We start from the raw sequence: 19,258 nt of genomic DNA on the forward strand, positions 1-19,258 counted from the left end.
CCTAACTCTGCTGCCAATCGCTTATATGGCCTTGCCACCAGTCTGTATAAGCCCTTCAGCACTGGGGATGGAGAGAGGAGAACAGTGTTAAGAACACATTCATTCTCCATTCCACTAGCTTCTCCGAGTCCTGACTGAGGATTCAGTAACATCTGGCCCAGGGGCCAAAGGCAGCCCGCTACCTGTTTGTGCAAAGTCCACGAGCTAAAGCTGGTTTTTACATTATTAAATGGTTGAAAATATCAAAAGAGAATAATATTTTGTACTGTGAAAATTATATGAAATTCCAATGTCATCGTCCATAAATTAAGTTTTATTGAAACACAGGCCAGGCGCGGTGGCTCACGCCTGTAATCTCAGCACTTTGGGAGGCAGAGATGGGCGGATCATCTGAGGTCAGGAGTTTGAGACCAACCTGGCCAACATGGTGAAACCCCGTCTCTACTAAAAATACAAAAATTAGCCAGGTGTGGTGGTGGGCAGCTGTAATCCTAGCTACTCGGGAGGCTGAGGCAGGAGAATCATTTGAACCCGGGAGACAGAGGTTGCAGTGAGTCGAGATCACACCACTGCACTCCAGCCTGGATGACAAGAGTGAGACTCCATCTCAGACAAAAAGAAAGCCCTACCCATTTGTTTATGTATTGCCTATGGCTGCTTTCCCGATATAGTCAGAATAGAGTTGTTGCAACTAAGACCATATGGCCTGCAAAGGATAAATTACTTAATATCTGGCCCTTTAACAGAAAAAGTTTGCAGACTCCTGGGTTAGATCATCAGAAGAAACATACTTGTCTGCTGTTCTCTTAGCTGCCCACAGAAAAGTATTCAGTGTGTTAAGATTAAATCTTATGTCCTTAACTTTTACAGGGGTTCATAAGAAACATCCATTTGATTGGAATTTCTGTGTCTTTTGCAATAAATGTTTCCTTGAATTTTATGCCAGCAAATAAGATGGTCTTCAATTGACCTTATATGCATTATTTTATTATCCCACTATGTAACTGGCATATTGTAAGTAGCCTATAGACTAATTTTAGTTATTTTAGTGATATTAACAGACAAGAATTCTTAATTTTAATGATATGTACTTATCTGTGTCATTATCCTCTATTTGTGGTTAGTGATGGTGGTTTTCCGTTTACAAAAATATCAAGTTTTTAAGATTTTTAAATTAAATTGAATAATTGTATTGATTTTTTAAAATGTCAAGTAAGTAACAATTTTGCTAGAACCACAGGAAAGGCAAAAATGTTACAGTTGTTCAAGAATGATGGAAGTTTAGGAATAACATATTGGACAATAGGAACATGTTTTCCTCTTTACCATGGTTGCTGGGAAGCTCAGGATTAAAGGCAGTGGCATTTTACAATAGTATCCACAGTTCTGTAATTTACCTCATTGGACTTCTTTGCAGCTGCCTTTAATAGAGCACTGACCACATCGTGTGGTTTCTGTTGGCTCGTGTGACTATCTGCCAAAGGAAACCGGAGCCGGACTCACCAGGCCAGAACTTGGGAGACCCATTGGGTTGACCTGTTCCATTTCTTCTCTGCCTGTTCCTCTTGAACCCACCAACATCTGGCTCTCACTTCTTTCCAAAAACTATTCCCACAAAGGTCATTAATTACCTCACAGGGCCAAATACAATGGCTTCCTTCCAGTTCTCAATCCATGGGGCCTCTGCTCAGCACTTGACTATGTTTATATATGGGTTATTACACAGCTCATTTATAAATTATTACATAGGCTACTATAGTAAGCTAGTAATATCCCCATCCACTCAAGTGCTCAAGGCACAAGTTGCTACCTCCTTCCTCTGCCCGCCCCCTTCCTGCCAAGCTCTTGACCAGCGCTGTCCTTCCTTCCACTGACATATTTCTCAGCCTTCTCTGCCCCTCTTAGGGCTTTATGGCCCTTGAGACCTTTCCGTTGCTTCCCTAGGTGTGACATTCATGTCCCTGTCTTCACTTGCACCCACACCAGTTAACATGGTTAACTTTCTAAACCATGAGCGGGCAGGTTAAGGTCAAACTAAAATGGGCCAAGTCCAGCCCCCTCCACCACCTGTTTTTGTAAGTGGTTATGTTTAGCATGTATCTTCAACTCTCCTCTTTGTACACAAAGCCTAAAATCTTTACTGTCTGGTCCTGTCCAGCAAAAGCTTGCCAACCCTGTTATGAACCCAGAAGTGGCTGCTGTCCTGCTTCTCCTTGCGTACCCCAGACTTCCCTACACATTAGCATCCCCTGAAGGGACTGAGGAAATGCAGATTTCTGGGCCCCAGCAGCTAGAGATTCTGATTCAGTGGGTCTGGGGTGAAGCCTGCAATGTTCCCACACCCCAAATCGTTCTAATGTAGGTGGCCCAAGGTCCACACTTTGGGAAATTCTGCTGTAATCGCAGAGCCAGCCTGAAGTCCCTGAAACATCATGGGTACTGGCCAGCGAGGGCCAGTGCTCTGCGCTCCCTGTTCTGTCTGCCTGGAAAGCCTTGGAAAACGCCTTTCTCCTCTGCAAAAGTCGTGTCCTCTTCCCAGACCTCCCACTCCCATACCAGACAAGCATTGTCACCTTCTCCTCTCCTGCTCCATAAAGCACCTGTCCCTCTACAACCCTGATGATGTGCTTGTGTGTCTGTCTCAGTAGCCAGACTGGGAGCTCTTCCAAGATGACATCATTTCACTGCCCCCAGCCCTTGCATAGAAGGCCTTAAATCAATATTTGGTGAATCAATGAATGAACAGATGGACTTGCTCCAAATTGCTGCATAAAGCAATGCAAAGTCAGGACTGAGTCCAAACACTGGGATCCCCTGTCGGGTAACCTCCAGGCTGAGCCATCAGTTGCTGGAGCACAGTGGTTCAGAGCAGAGCTGGCCTGGGTGTGAATCTAGCTCTGTACTTTGCTAGCTCTGTGACCTTGGGCAGCTTATACAAGCCTGATTACATCACCTCTAAAATGAGAAAGATGATGTTAATAGCACTTACCTCACAGAGTTGCTCTGAGGTTTAAATGAAGTAATCCATGGAAAGCTCTTCAGCACATAGGAAGCATTTAATACATGTTAATTATGGTTTTATTCTGTCATATCTCTTTGTCCACGCCAGGCATGTGCCAAGGTGGAGCCTGACAGGAAGCCTCAGCCTTTCTATAGTGAGGGCACAGCAGGGACTACTCAGACTCAAGTCTCGGGGTCAGCCAACCCCATCTCTCTCTTGTCACTGGGATTCTACTGGAAATCGCCAGCTGTGGGAAGTCCTGCCAGGTGGCCCAGGACCCTGGAAATAGGCAGATCTTAGAGTTCAGCTACTAAAGCTCCTGCTCCCTCCTCCCAGCCCAACTCAAGAAACCTACCCCGCAGCACCTTATTCTTTGGTCACCAGCCAGGAGGGTCAAGGTAGAATTGCTTCAGGAGACAGATGACACCGAGTAGGCTGGAGGATGTGGTAAGGGCTGGGCTACACGGAGGATGCTGGCAGCAATGAGTAGCACCAATACTGAATGTTAATTGAGCCCTAATCAGTAAGCACTCTCCTGGGGCAAATGTGACCAACCCCAGGGAGAGAGTTTGATGGAGATACAACAGGAACTCCAGTGGACCACAGAGTGGACCTGCCACACGCAGACAGCAACAGCGCCCGCATCCTTATGTGGCAAATCCAGGACAGGGGCTTCCAAAGCAGGAAGTCCTCTGGGGTTGTGGAGATAAGATTACAGACCCATCTGCAACAGCTGAGGTGAGGTGATGGGGTCACTGTCTCAGAGCCCATGGGACTACAGAATCAGAAAGAAGAGTAATGTTTGGTCTAATATGCTTTTTCTTTCTTTTCTTTTCTTTTCTTTTTTTTTTTTTTTTTTTGGGACAGACTTTCATTCTTGTTGTCCAGGCTGGATGGAGTGCAGTGGCTGATCTCGACTCACTGCAACCTCTGCCTCCCAGGTTCAAGTGATTCTCATGCCTCAGCCTCCCGAGTAGCTGGGATTACAGATGCCCGCCACCATGCCTGGCTAAATTTTTTTGCATTTTTAGTAGAGACAGGGTTTCACCATGTTGGCCAGGCTGGTCTCAAACTTCTGACCTCAGGCAATCTGCCCGCCTCGACCTCCCAAAGTGCTAGGATTATAGGCATGAGCCACCACGCCTGGGCAACTCTTTTTAAACCATTCCTCAATTGCACAAACCAAAAACCTAGGAATTGGCCTTGACAACTGTCTCTCACTTAATCCCCCCAACCTGATCCTTCTTCATAGAGCACCGCCATTTTTATCTTCTAAGGATCTCTGCCATCAAGCCATCCCGATTCCCAATCTTGCTTACCCTCTTCAATTTCTTTTTCTTTTTCCATTGCACATAATACTTTGCAATGTATTTACTTATTTATTATACTTACTGTCTATCTCCCTTCTCACTAAACCTGGCATGTAGTAGATGCTCAATAAAGATTCGAGGACTGATTCTGCATGACCACCTTCTCCCGTCTGAATGATAGCACTAGCCTCCTGTCTGGCCTACTGCTGCCTACTCTGGTTCATCTTCAATCCATTGCCCAGAACGGTGCTTTCTCAAAATGCAAATCTGGTCATGTGTCAGCTTTGTGCCACCCACCCCTGCATGCACAGACATCAGACACATCAATGGCTTTCCACAGATTCAGGGTAAAGCCTCATCCCCCTAATGTGGCCCACAAGGTCCTCCTTTGCCTTCTCCTGCCCTCCTCTCTGGCTTCTGCTGCTCCCCACCTCCTCACTGTCTCTGCCCCAGACCCACTGGCATCCTTTTGCCACAGTCACGCCCACCAAACTGCCTGAGCCCATGAAGTTCCCGTGCAGTTTCCTGTGCATGGGTGGCTCTTCCCTGCCTTCGGATTCCAGCTCCAGCAGCCTTCCCTGACATGGCTCTCCACCCTCATTAGGTCAACTCTTCCCATCCCAGGATCTCAGATGCCATTTGTGACTTCTCCATGGAGCTCGTCATGGTTGCATCTTTAGACTGGTACATGGGCTGTTTGGAAGCGTCTTTCTTCCTGACCACACTGAGAGCTCCATGAAGGAAGGACTGTCTTCGTTGCTCACTATTTTAGCCCCAGTTCCTAGTGGCGTGCCAAGCACCTAACAGGCACTCAATAAACATGTGTTGATTAAATGAAATAAGTGAGGAAACCCAGGCCCAAAGAGCCCAGGTGACTTGCTCACCGTGACACAGCTTGGAGATGGCCACTGCAACACAGAGTTCAGGGCTCTGCCAGAATTCATGCCACTTCTCTTTGGCAGGGCAGAGACAAGGGTCCCCCAGCCAGTGGGGAGCCCTCGCTGGCCAGTACAACCAGACAGGGGGATGGAACCTGGGCCTGCCTTGGGTCTTCTCTGGGAAAACAGCTCCAAGCCGGGAAGACAGAAGGTTGATATTCCCACGCTAAATTCCCCTCGTGGCCATTATAATTCACATCCTGCATATTGAAGGCTCTGAAAAGTCCCCAGGTCAAAAAGAAACTTTCACAGTAATAAACAGAAGATTTCCTTTTCCCAGAGGGAAATGTTTCTGCACAAACAGAAGCAGGTCTCCCTGAAGGTCAGCTCCAGGCACAACCAAGCGGACACTCATTTTTCCTAAGAACATTTATCAAAGACCTACTCAGTGCTAGACATTACAAAGCACCAGGGAAGCTGCAGAGAGGAGGATGGGCAAGGCCTCACCCTCAGAGGGTTGCATATAAAAGGCACTGTTCCCCCGGGAACATCCCAGGAGGGAAAATGCCAAACGTGAAACCAAGGAAACACTGAAACAACCATCTAGCCACGGAGGGACCTCACAGTGAGTGCAATGAAAAGGAGATGCAGGCTGTGGCTGTTTGGGCTGGGCTCTCTGAGGACGTGACTACACGGCTGACAGCTTGTGGCAATGGGGCCAGTGTGACCAGAAGGCCAGGGTCTGATGGTCCAAGCTCCTAGCAAGCCCACCCTTCTGTTGCGAATATGCTCAAGAAAAACTCGAGTCCCCTCCGACGCACTTCCACGTGCCTCTCGGCAACCATCCGTGCAGAGAAACCGCAGGTGTGCCAGGTGATGACCTAGGGACGGTGACTTGGGGACTCCTTGTTGTAAAATGTCAAGCACTTTGGTCCTGAATGCCAAAGCACACACACAAAACACTGTCCCCCTTCCTTGGCCTAATCTCAAAAGCCAAGCAAGATCCGTGTCTAAACTCTCATTGAACGCGCTAAAATGTTTCTGAAGAGCACAGGAATTACTTAAATGAAAAATAATTGTTGAGGAGCCATTATTATTATTCAAGATGTGTCAAATGACATTGAAGTGTTCTATTTAATGTGTGGTCATTACTATCATCTTTTAGAGAACATGAAAATAAGCGTTCGTCTGATTACCTGAATGCCCACACCTATTTTCCTCCTAATGTCTTATGACCATCCACCTGGAATTCTCCAACCTTGGGAGCTTTCAAGAACACAGCCCTCACAGCTGAGGCAGGGGAGGCCATCAGCACACAGGTCCTGGATGGGTCGGAGGCTGCTGAAATATCTAAGTTCCTGCAATGATTTCAGAGCATGCTGCTCAAATGGAGGTGCTTTCTTAGCAAGCAATCTCTCTATTTCTTGTGGGAAGATGAGGAGAAAATCGGCTGTTGGGTCCGGGATCCCAGCTGGCAGCTCACCCAGACTGACCCCCACCAGGGGAGCATGGAGCATTTCCCAACAGGGAAAGGACTGCGGGGCGCCGAGGGCCCCAAGCCGCAGAAACATGAGGCTTGCCTGACCCCTTGTGGTGTGAGGCTCTCAAAGCCCGCTCCTTGCTGTTCAGACAGAAGGGGCAAAGACTGGATTCATTGTGACTGTGAGTGCTTGTCGTGGATTGAATGACACCCCTCAAAAGGTATGTTCCCCCAATGTGACCTTATCTGGAAAAAGGGCCTTTGCAGATGTAATTAAGGATCGTAAAATGAGAGCATCCTGGATTACCCAGGTGGGCCCTAAATCCAATGACAATTGCCCCTTATAATCCACAGAAAAAGAAAAGCCACAGACATACAGAGCAGAAGTCCACGTGAAGATAGGCAGAAAAGGGAGTTACACAGCTACAAGCCAAGGAGTGCCGAGGCCCCGGCAGCCAAAAGAGGCTGGGAGAGAAGACATATCTGCTGTTTGAAGGCACTAGGTTTGGGGTCATTTGTTATGGCGTGCTAGGAAACTTCAATATGGGATCAAGGGATAGGAGGACTCAAAGCCAGGGGCTTCCAAAGCCTGGTCTGTGGAGAGAGTGCATCAGAACCACCTGGTGCACTTGATTCCTTGATTCTGATTCAGAGTCCCTACGGTGGGGCTCTGGAATTGTACATTTTACAAGCTAGCCCTAGTCAATTTTTCTGTACACCCAGTTCTGGGAGCTGCTGTTCCAACCAACTCAGTGATAACCTTTGTAGCAGTTATTAGTGCTGTTCACCGAATAGCTCTATCTCTTTACCTTCTAAGCACAGGATACGATTGCGCTTCCTGCCCTGCTGTGGGCAGATGGGGTCAAGGGACTAGTTTTGACCAATGGCTTGTGGGAGAAGTGCTGTGTGTTAAATACGAGCTGAACTGTAATTGCCAGTGCAAGACCCCCCACCCCAGAGCTCTCTTCGCTGCAGTATTTGGGGTGGTGGCTGCTCTACTAGCCTGGACCCCTGAGGGACTGAGTAGAATCCGCCTACCCACCTGTGATGCACACACACCCGGGGCTTTTAAAGCCTCTGAAATGCCAGGTTGGTTGTTACTGCAGCATAACCTAGTCTATCCTGACTGATTGAAATATGGGAATGTTTTGTTTCAACTTCAAGTCACCCGCTAGAACCTAACTTGGATACAGACACATTTTTTAAGCTTTGCAAACAATTTGCTTAACAAGATTCAGGCTCATCATAGCAGCCACTTTTCATATTATGGGGGTCACTGAATTGAACAAAATCAGTATTAACACCCAAGCAACTCCAGAGCTTGTTTTTCTTGCTATTTTATTAATTCGCTAAAACTAATCATTTTCTAACTAATATCAGACTTTACTGTGCATACAAATTACCTCGAGATCTTGTTAAAATGCACAGTGTTACAATTCAGAAGGTCTAGGATGAGGTTCTGCCTTAGTCAGTTTGGGCTACTATAACAGATACCACAGACTGTGTGGCTGAAACAACACTTATTTCTAATGGTTCTGGAAGCTGGGAAGTCCAAGATCAAGGTGCTAGCAGATTCCATATCTGGAGAGGGCCTGCTTCCTGGCTTATAGGCAGCCACCCTCTTGCTGTATCCTCATGTGGCAGAGAACAGAGATCATCTCTCTCATGTCTCCTCTTATAAGGGAACTAATCCCATTCTGAGGATCCCACCCTCATGACCTAATCACCTCCCAAAGACCCCAACTTCAAACACCATCATATTGGGGATTCAGGCTTCAACATAGAAATCCTGGCTGGAGGCGGGGCACAAACTTTCAGTCCACAGCAGACTCATTCTATAGCTCTAACCAGTTCTGGGGTGATGCCAGTTCTGCTGGTCTGTGGACCACACTTTGAATAGCAAGATTTTAGGTAATGCTTTTCTACAAAATAAATTATTGAACTAATGGGTAAGTTAATTTCATAACATCCATAATTATAATAAACTACATCTGTAAAGCCATCTCTAGTTTCACATGTATTCAACTTAAGCCTCATAATGGCCCTGTCTGTGAGTGAAAGCAAGCAGATTTTTTTTTTTTTTTTTTTTTTTTTTTTTGAGATGGAGTCTCATTCTGTCACCCAGGCTGGAATGCAGTGGCGTGATCTCGGTTCACTACTGCCTCCACCTCCCAGGTTCAAGCGATTCTCCTGCTTCTGAGTAGCTGGGACTACAGGTGCCTGCCACCACACCCGGCTAATTTTTGTGTTTTGGGGGTTTTTTGGGGTTTTTGTTTGAGATGGAGTCTCACTCTGTCACCAGGCTGGAGTGCAGTGGTGTGATCTTGGCTCATTGCAACCTCTGCCTCCCAGATTCAAGCGATTCTCCTGTCTCAGCCTCCTGAGTAGTTGGGACTACTGGTGTGCGCCACCATGCCCAGCTAATTTTTTTGTGTTTTTAGTAGAGACGAGGTTTCGCCATGTTGGCCAGGCTGGTCTCGAACTCCTGACCTCAAGTGATCCACCTGCCTTGGCCTCCCAAATTGCTGGGATTACAGGCGTGAGACACCGTGCCTAGCCGAAAGCAAGCATATATTCTTATCCCTACTTTGCAGATGATAAAAATAAAAGCTGAGAGAGCTTGAGACTCCCTGAGGGTCATCTTGTTCGGTAATGTCAAGGATTAGACTAGAAAACAAATCTTGTCTATGCTCTACCACTGCCTAATAACAGTCCCCAAGATTTCATCAGTGTTTGAATGCCCAGCAAGATTCTAAACATGGTGTGTGTGTGTCTCATTGGAAACCACCTCAAATCCAAATGCTGTGGTCACTTTCAACCTAGCCTCTCAGTAGCACCCTGCACTTTGGCTTTGGGATGGCCTCCTACATGGAGGAAACATTGCCACCTAGTGGACTTCCAGAGCATCAACTCTTAGGACGCTGAGTCTGGGTTACATCTTGGGTTACATCTTTCTAACTTTGGCCTTCATAGCTCTGGTTCTTCCAGTCAACACAAATGCTAGACTCTACATAAGAGATGCAGATGTAGCACTGTCATGGCCTTTGCTTCTAGGAGCTCTTGAGGTAGGTGCAGAGACAAGATTTTTTTACACGAAATAATTAGTTCCTTGTTCAAATTTCGTGATCAGAGGACATGGTTAAGTTCTAACCTTTAGTAGTTGTGTGATCTTGGGCAAGGCGCGTGACCTCTTTCATCCTCCATTTCTTCATCTACAAAGAGAAGATACAATAGTCTTGCCTCACTGGGTCATTGGGATGAAGACGAGAGATTCGTATTAAAAACCAGCAGGGCCTGGGAATGGAGATGTTACGGGGAATGGAGGTTATGATTTCTAGATGGCACCAAGATTTTGAGCCTGGTTGACAGGAACAATGATGATTCCATGGGGAGAGATAAGGTGGACAGCTATTTGAGGTAAAAGATGGCAAGTTTAGATTTACCTATGAGTCTAAAATGTCACTGGGACAGATGTGGGACAATATCCAAAGCAGTTGGAAGGGGCTGTGGAATGAAGACCCAGGTTTGGAAAGGCAGGAGAGTACAGTGGTCAGGTGCATGGGTGTGGGGCCCAACAGCGCGGGTTTCACTCTCAACTTCACTGCTTCCCAGCTGTGTGACCTCCAGCAAGTTGTTTAACCTCTCTGTGTCTTGGACTGGTCACCTATAAAATGCAAATAACAGGGCCGGGTGTGGTGGCTCATGCCTGTAACCCCAGCACTTTGGGAGGCTGAGGTGGGTAGATCACTTGAGGTCAGGAGTTCGAGACCAGCCTGGCCAACATGGTGAAACCCCGTCTCTACTAAAAATACAAAAATTAGCTAGTTATGGAGGCACACACCTAAAGCCCCAGCTACTCAGCAGGCTAAGGCTGGAGAATCACTTGAATCCAGGAGACGGAGGTTGCAGGGAGCGGAGATCATGCCATTGCACTCCAGGCTGAGTGACAGAAAGACTCTGTCTCAAAAAAAAAAAAAAGCAAATAACAATGGTTGCTGTGAGAATGACATGAGTTAGCATAGCTACATTAATATCTATTAGGTACTTTCTGTAACTTTTGCCTGAGTCAGGCTTGAGTGCACAGGTTGGAGGGGAGGGGGTCAAGTGTATGAGTTGATTATGAACTGTTTATATATTCACTGGAATATAGGCTCCAGGAGGGCAGGAGCTTCTATGGTTTATTTCTATCTCCTGGTGCAGCACAGATGCTTAATAAGTAGTCATTGAATAAATGAGTGAATGAATGAATGAATTAATTGACACAGGCCTAGTGAAGAGTGGAGTCAGGAGAGGCTGAAAGGGAAACCAGTAGACTGGGCCTTGCATGTGACCCAGAGGTAGAGGCTGAAGGCCACTCTCCAACCGTGCTCTTTTTAGAAGTGTGAGATGGAAAGGACTAGGTTAGTGGTTCTCAACCCAGGCAATGTCTGGAGAGAGACATCTCTGGTTTTCGCAATTGGTGGGTATAGGGAAAGTAATCCTGGCATCTAGCAGATGGGGGACATGGTTGTGGTTAAACATCCTACAATGCCCAGGACACCCCCCAAAACAGAAAATGATCTATCCCCAAATATCAACAGTGCTGAGCCTTAGGTGTCTAAAAGATCATTCTTTTATAACTTTTTAAACTGTTACATAATAGTTGTGCAAATTTTGGAAGTACATGTGATATTTTGACACATGTACACAATGTAATGGTCAAATCAGAGTAATTGAGCTATTACCTCAAACATTCATCTTTTTTGTTAGGGACATTGCAATTATTCTAGCCATTTTGAAAATACAATAAATTAGTGTTAACTATAATTTCCCTACCGTACTATGGAATACTAGGTCTTATTTTTATGATCTAACTGTATTTCCAAAAGATGATTCTAATCCCTGCTGTGTTTCTTAATAGTTCTGTGGCCTTATCAGCCAAATCCTTGATTTCCCTGAGTTTGTTTCCTTATCTGTAAAATGGGAACATGAGTACCAGCGCTATTCATATTGTGGATACGTGGTGAAGAACAGAATACTGTGTTCTTGGCACCTGCCACATGGTGAGTCCATGTTCAATCCTACTATTACTCTAGTTATTGCTCTCATGCTAAGATGCACAACAAAATAAAGCCTCATCTTCTGGGACTATGGATTCTACTAAGGAGCTTGACAGTGTCACTTTGAAAAGATCAAATGCACTCACTCTTAGCTCCCACCATCCTACACACAAAAGCAATTCTGCTAATAGTGGTCTTGCACCTCCTTTCATCTATCCTGAGGATATGGACGTTGGTGTAGTGTTGAGAATGACCCTGGAGTTGCCACTAGCACTAAAACAGGCTGAGGCTGCTCTACTTATAATCAGTTCATAATCAACTCATAAACTTGACCCCTCCCCTCCACCCATGCACTCAGGCCTGACCCAGGCAAAAGTTACAGGGCTGAGTCTTCCATCAACTACACGCCATGCAGTACCCAAGAAAGTGCACACTTATGGGGATTATGGTGAGGAAGAAAGCAGTCACCATCCTTGCTGGACTTCCATCACTCCATTAGCAGAATTTAAGTAGCCGTTATGCCCCAGGCCTCCCCTGGTCACATGTCTTCCCCTTCCCCACACACCACAGGAGTGTTACCAATTTTAACCTAAACCCATCTGGGTGAAGATGCTTGGGGAGAGGGAAATTGGAGTGAGAGGCAGCACACGTTGTGATGGGCTTGAACAGGTTCTAGAAGAGGCATGACATGAATATTGCCAAACATGGCCAAAGGCTTATAAAAGACCTGGCTTTGCAGCAAAGAAAACAAAAGTCTGGGTAAAAGATTGTGAAGGCTGCATCTACTTAGACATTGCTGTTCATGAGTGTGCAGATGGATGGCCTGGCATGCACATGTTGTGCACACTGAGCTTCCAGCTCCCCTGAACGCACCCACACAACACTCGCTAACACTCAGGGCTGAATCCCAGCTGTCAGCATGGCATCTCTACCCAACATGTGGCCTTTTTTCCTCTCTGGACTGCTCCAGCCTCAGCTGAGAGATGATTCTGGCCTGATAACTACAGCTTTGTTTTGTGAAAACAGAGACGCAAGCATCAGTTCCTTCTTCTGCCCAGAGGTCTCAAGGAGTTTGGACAGGGGTATCATGGGGGCAGGGAACACAGGGAAAAAGAGAGAGCGGGGAGGAAATGAGGAACAGGTAAGAAATGCATTGCTGTTGAAAAAAAGAGCTCTCTTCAGCCAATAATAACAGCTGAGGTTGTCTGAGCACTTACTTTCTCCCAGGCACTGTGCTAAACACGTTTGTTACTCAGTCCTCAGACACTCCCATGAGTTCAGTTTAAGAATTCCCATTCCACAGAACATGGAAAGGGTGCTCCAACAATTATGTTGCTGCAGATTAGCTCATTCTCAATCTAACCAATAAACATGACCCTAGGGTAGAATGTAAAGTGATTTAAATGGAACACCTGCCTTACAGAAGATCCTTTCCACTCAGCATTTGGGAGGGGAGAGGATTTTTTTATTCAATTTGGATGGCTAATTAGTTATCACAATGACTGAGGAATGGGAAGGTGCCACTGGCATTTAGCGGAAGAAGTCCAGGATGCTAAAAACATCCTATGCTCTAGAGAACAATGCTCTAGTCAAGAAACATGAGAACTGTATGCCCCTTGGCTCCCCTATCTCTATAGTGTGGACATCACCTGCCTCATCAGCTTATAATGAGGATTGAATGACTCACCATCTGGAAGGTACCAGTTCCCACAATTTAGCAGAAGCTGTCAGTGCCCCAACCATACCCTTTGGCTATGTACTGTTTCTGAGCAGGCTGGCCTGACCTCCACCAGCCAGCATCTGTATCTCCCTTTCCACAAGTTTTTCTGGCCATGAAAGCACACCAGAACCTCCCATCACGAGACAAACTCAAGGCAGCCTGGGGCCCTCCACCAGTGGCTGGTGGGAGTTGGTGTATAAACACGCAGCTACCTCACTCTTTGGAGAGACAGAGCTGAGACTCATGTTCTGCACTGTTTACAGAGTTCCCCAGTAGGATTAAACTCCAGTTTCCTACAGTGGTAACCAGCTTCCTTTCCTTCTCTCTCAAGCTCACCACTCTCTATGGTGCTCTCTGGGACCATTTCCCAGTTAAACCATTTGCTTACAAATCCCTGTCTCTGAGTTGCTCCTCAGGAAGCTGAATCTAAGACACACAGTGAACAGTGAACTGTGACCCCCTTACTTCTGTGCCCTGGTTAGTTTGTATGTTTTTTTTCAACCTAGAGCGCCCATTATGTGTGTGTCTTCTTGTGCAGGTCTGCTCATTTTAATAACTGTGTACTGTGAATTATGTTGGTTCCTCTCTCTGGCTCGTTAGCAACATTATTGAAAATTGGGTAGGGAGGGCAGCCCAGGAAACCTCACAAACAGGAGGTGATTCTTTCCCAGACAATGCAGGCACTGCCATTTCTGCTTTGGGACTGAGAAACTCCCCCACCCCCAGCCCCCACCAGCCAGGAAGAAGAGTGGATCCTTGTGGTACAACAGCAAAAGGGACGTGCAGGTCCCAGGAAGCTCAGAGAGCTATGTTTGGGGAGGCCTCTGTCTGACCTCACATAAGCAACAGAGCTGTACTGCCCAAATAGTCCCTCCTGAACACAGCAGGGCTAGAAGCTGGCTTGGGAGAACATCAGAAGAGGATGAGGGCCCTGCCCTTGAGAAAGGAACCAAAGCACTACTAACTAAAGGGACAATCAAGCAACTGTGCAACCCAAAACCCATAGTTCACAATGAACAGCACAGCTGCATTTAGGCAGTGCTGGTTTCAAAGCTGGTCCTTTGCCTGTTTTTTTGTTTTTGTTTTTGTTTTTGTTTGAGAAAGGGTATGGCTCTGTCACCCAGGCTGGAGTGCAGTGGTGCAATCTCATCTCCCTGCAACCTCTGCCTGCCGGACTCAAGCGATCCTCCCACCTCAGACTCCTGAGTGGCTGGGACTACAGGCGCACACCACCATGCCCAGCTAATTTTTTTGTCGAGATGGGGTTTCGCTGTGTTGCTCAGGCTGGTCTCAAACTCCTAGGCTCAAGCAATCCTCCTACCTCGGCCTGCCAAACTGCTGCAATGGTCCTTTGCCTCTCGAATTTGTGCCTAATTTACTTTCATTCCCACCCCTAGAGCTGTTTTATGTCTTCCAAGTTTATGCCCTTCATGGGGAAGTGAAGCCACATCCAAATGGTTGGGGAAATGTCCTGAAGAGCTGAATATCTGCCACCTCACCTGCATGGCTCTCGTGCTCGCAGCCAGGCTGCAGGACTCCAAAGCCACCCCTGGGAACCTCTGAGCCCTTGTTGCCTATGATGTGCGGTGGACACTTAAGGAAATTGCCAAGGGACAAATCTGGTCACCTCACATCGACCTGCTTTGCTATATAATCCATCGGCTCCAGGCCTGCCCTGCACTTACCCTCAACGAGTCCGTGAGCAAGACACCTCAACTGCTAAAGTCTCACATTCTGCAAGTGCAAAGTAGGATTCTTTTTTTTTTTTTTTTGAGATGGAGTTTTGCTTTTGTTGCCCGGGCTGGAGTGCAGTGGCATGATCACCGCTTACTGCAACCTCTGCCTCCCAGGCTCATGCAATTCTCGTACCTCAGCCTCCCAAGTAGCTGGGATTACAGGCGTGTGCCACCACACCCGGCTAATTTTTTTTTTTTTTTTTTAGTAGAGACGGGGTTTCACCATGTTGGCCAGGCTGGTCTCGAACTCCTGATCTCACGTGATCCGCCCACCTCGGCCTCCCAAAGTAAGATTCTAATCATAACCACTCCTTAGCGTCATTTTGAGGATTAAATGAGATAATATACAGAAGCAGCAGACATGAGTTCCTGATGTGTAGGATCCAACTAATAAACATTAGCCAGGAGTAAGAAATAGTTTGAGCAGCAATGGTCACAGCAGCAACAGAATGGTAGGGGTAGTTAAGAGCTTGGAATCGGCTGCTTTCCTGTATCCTCTCTAGTAGCTGGCACAAACTCTGCACAAAGTGCACACTCAATAAATATTTGCATGAAAGCATTGAGTAAACCAAGCCAGGCTGAAGATGTTTAAAGCTACTGTTTACTGTGTCCTTATCAGATACCAGGCCCTGGGGTGAGCACATCATTTAGATTTCCTCACATGATCTTTTAATTCACTCCCCGGCTTCTGTGGTTTCCTTCCATGGGGAGCGAGCTCAGCCTGCTGAGACACTCCCGGCTCTTCACCTCAGTACATCTTTAGAGGGAGAAGCATCTGAGTGGGGAATTGGGAGGAGAAACTGGGCATGCACGGCCCTCCCTGTTCCCACCACCTCCTCCCCTTTGGGGGCTTCACTGTCTCACTCTATGAGCTTTACAGGGGCTGTGAAGATCCAGGGATCCTGGCGGCCAGGTAGGTCTGTGAACTCTGGGGCTACACGTCAGGGAATCCCCTGGCCTGTAGAGGTAAGCTACGTGTTATACAACCTGGCCTTTGTTGTAAGGAAGGTGATTTGGGACCTCCATATGCTGGCTCTTTTATCTTATTCAAGAATTGGTTCAGACCCAGGTGGGGAAGGGTGGTACTATCTTTTGACTCCCTATAACGTAATTCCTATACCAACTCCAGAGGTGAGTAACAGCATCCCGTATTTCCCCATGTAGTGGGTTAAATGACTTGCCCAAGGTCACACAGGTGAGCTACCATTCAGACCTGGGTGTGTTTAACTCCAAAGAATGGCTCACACCTGTGCTGTCCCTGGAATGTTGCTGTGCCCACAAATCACCAGCTGAAGCACGCATTGCCAGTCTCATGAGAAGAGGCAAAGAGGGCCATTTACCTAGGAGAGCTAGACCTGAGCCTGCCGGATGTGCTTCCCGTTAGCCCTCGACGACAGTCATTCCAGCTGGCTCCCTTCATGGGCGGGGTCTTGCTGGAAGCTTTCCTCCCACTCTCAGGACTTTCGCCCATCTTCCTGTTTGCTTCTCCTCTCCACTTTTCTCGTTATTTGGCAAAAAATATCCCAAGCCCTAAAAGACATGTAATTCCCAGAGCTTCTTCCCTGAGCATGTCCAAGTCTCTCCTGGTTGGCTCTTTTATTATTTCTTTCATTTATTCCTGGAAGCCCTCATGACGACATGGGTTTCAGACTCTACTTATTTCCCAAATGACTTGTTGGCACTGCTGTGTGGCACTGGGATCAGTAAGGGAATGCACCCTCACCTCTTCTCTATAAAATGCCTCCTTTGGTATCTTGGCAGATATTCTCACATGCCACATTCCACCAGGTGTCTGTAGAGGCAAGGAAGTTAGAGTCTGGAAGGGTCTCTACCTCCTCCTCCTTTTCCTCTCCCTCCTCCTGGTTATTCTTCTACTTCTCTCTCAAACAACTGCCTAGTTGTCTGCATTTGAAATACAGTACCTGGTTGTAAACTCCAGAGATTTGGAACTCAAGGGGACCCTGCTTTTCTAATATTATAGATGAGGAATTAAGGCACAGAGAGGTTAAGGGACTTGCCTGAGGTCACACAGCAAAATAGTGGCTGAACTAGACTAGACTGTCAGTTTCTTGACTCAGTCCAGTGCTCATCTCAGAATGCCGTTTGGTTAAATTGGTCCACTGGGTTTATAGTGCTAAGAACCACATAGTTAAGTGAAGGAAGCACATCCATTCCCTACCTTACTGAAAGCCAGTTCTATCAGATCTGTTCTGTTAGAGTCTGACCGTGTCAACTCCCTCTCTGCCCTTCATTCACTTTTCTTACCATTGTGCAAAGCTAGTTCCCGCCCTGGGACCTTGGCACTTGCTGTCCCCTTGAGGTGAACACTCCTCTCAGATCTTCCAAAGCTCTCTCCAGATTGTTCAGGTCTCCGCTCAAGTGTCCCCATCTGACCTAAAACTGTCCCCTCCTCTATCATTCTCTGCCTCCTACCCTGCTTTGAAATTTAGAGCACTTACCACTCTCTGAAATATTGTTTGTGCTTGTCCTCTTGTCTTGCCTGCCTCCCACACAGAAATGTAAATTCCACACAGGCAGGGACTTTGCTTTGCTCACCACTGTGTCCTCAGCACCTGGCACTTGGTAGATGATTGATAAGAATGAATTTGTTTGCTATTAAGATATTATGGATTAATAGTGGTTAGGACCAAAATATACCACAGAGGATAGGGTGACAGGCAACCCAGATGGCTGCCATGGGACCCAGGAGGAGATTACACATCCTGAATCTAGACATGGCAACACTGTTCTGAGTGTATTGGATTTTCAACTTCACAAAACCAAACACTCTGCAGAGCACAGCACACCTGGCTCCTGAGGGAAAAGAGCAGGACAACATCCCCTTCCAATTCAAGGTCAACAGGCTAAAATGCAGGCACCGGTTTTGGTCGTCTCTCTCTTGCAAGGAACTGCTCTCCTCTCTCCTTTTTTCTGTCTATTAAACTTTCCGCTCCTTAACCCACCCACATCTGTCCAAGTTCTGAATTCTTTCTTGGCAAGAGACTACGATCCCCATGGTATATACCCCAGACAATGTAGCTGTTTCAGTTGGGTGTTCTCATCAGGGATCGAGATGAGAATGGAAGGTAGAATCATTGGTGTGAGTCAAGGAAACTTATTTTGAACTAATTATGGCCTTTAATAATTGAGTAAGGTATACTCCTGTGAACAAAATTTGGAGCATGTTTGTTTCTCTCTACCTGGTTCCTCCAGAATTTGGAAACCATCTACTCACCGTTCTTGTTCCTGTGAATCAAGTGGTGAGCTGCAGCTTGGAAGAAACAAAAAGTGATGCAACATCTGGTGGAGGCAAACCAGTGTTACAACCCATTGGAATGGCTGACAGCAATCAAACTCCAAACAGTGCTGCAGACCAAACCACGCATGAACACGCCTTTCTTCCGAGGACCCTTAGATCAACCCCAGGAGGAGCCCTAAGTGCTGTTCCCCACATTACGCCCCTTTTCAGTAGGAAGTAGCCAGGAAGAGTCATCACCGAACACCCCCTAACACCAGTTAGTGTTACCACTCCAGAGGGAGGAATGATATAGGAGTTAAGAAGAAATCACTTAGGCAAATAGTAAGGGTATGTGAGTCCTCAGTAACGCTTTTCTATTTAATGAAAAGCAGCTGCAAACCATTTTCTAACAAAGAACCGCCTGTAAAGTCTAGCTGCAGACATAGCTGGGAGCTTGCACAGGTGAATGCCAGCAAGAACTAGGAACTAGACATGTTCAAGATGGTGGCCCCACCTTCCCTTCTCTGTCAGCCACGTGTAAAGAGCAAACAAGATGGTGGCGATCAACTGGAAAGCCCACTTGCATAGTAAGATTAGGATGGGGCAACTTGCCTTCCCCGTGTGCTATATAAACGTCATACCTGATCGAACCAATCTGTGAGCCCAACATAAATCAGACACTGCCTTCTCCAGCCTGCCTATAAAGTCTGCCCTGGCACACACTGCCTTTTCCTTTGCAGACCTTTCTCTCTCTCTCTCTCTCTCTCTCTCTCTGGCAAGGAGAGAGAAAGACTGTCTAATAAACTTTCCACTGTTTAACCCAAAAAAAATATATAAAATTAAATTAATTTAAATT

The 19,258-nt window shown here is 46.7% G+C and overlaps 1 annotated feature.

Annotated features, from left to right (window-relative positions):
• Positions 9,390–9,684: an enhancer, noted in NCBI's record as "tiled region #13289; K562 Activating DNase matched - State 12:CtcfO". NCBI's record gives its function as "activates a minimal TATA promoter and a strong SV40 promoter by Sharpr-MPRA in K562 cells {active_cell/tissue: K562}" and the evidence as "EXISTENCE:reporter gene assay evidence [ECO:0000049][PMID:27701403]".

This window comes from Homo sapiens, chromosome 14 (genome assembly GCF_000001405.40).
Source record: "Homo sapiens chromosome 14, GRCh38.p14 Primary Assembly".
NCBI lineage: Eukaryota > Metazoa > Chordata > Mammalia > Primates > Hominidae > Homo > Homo sapiens.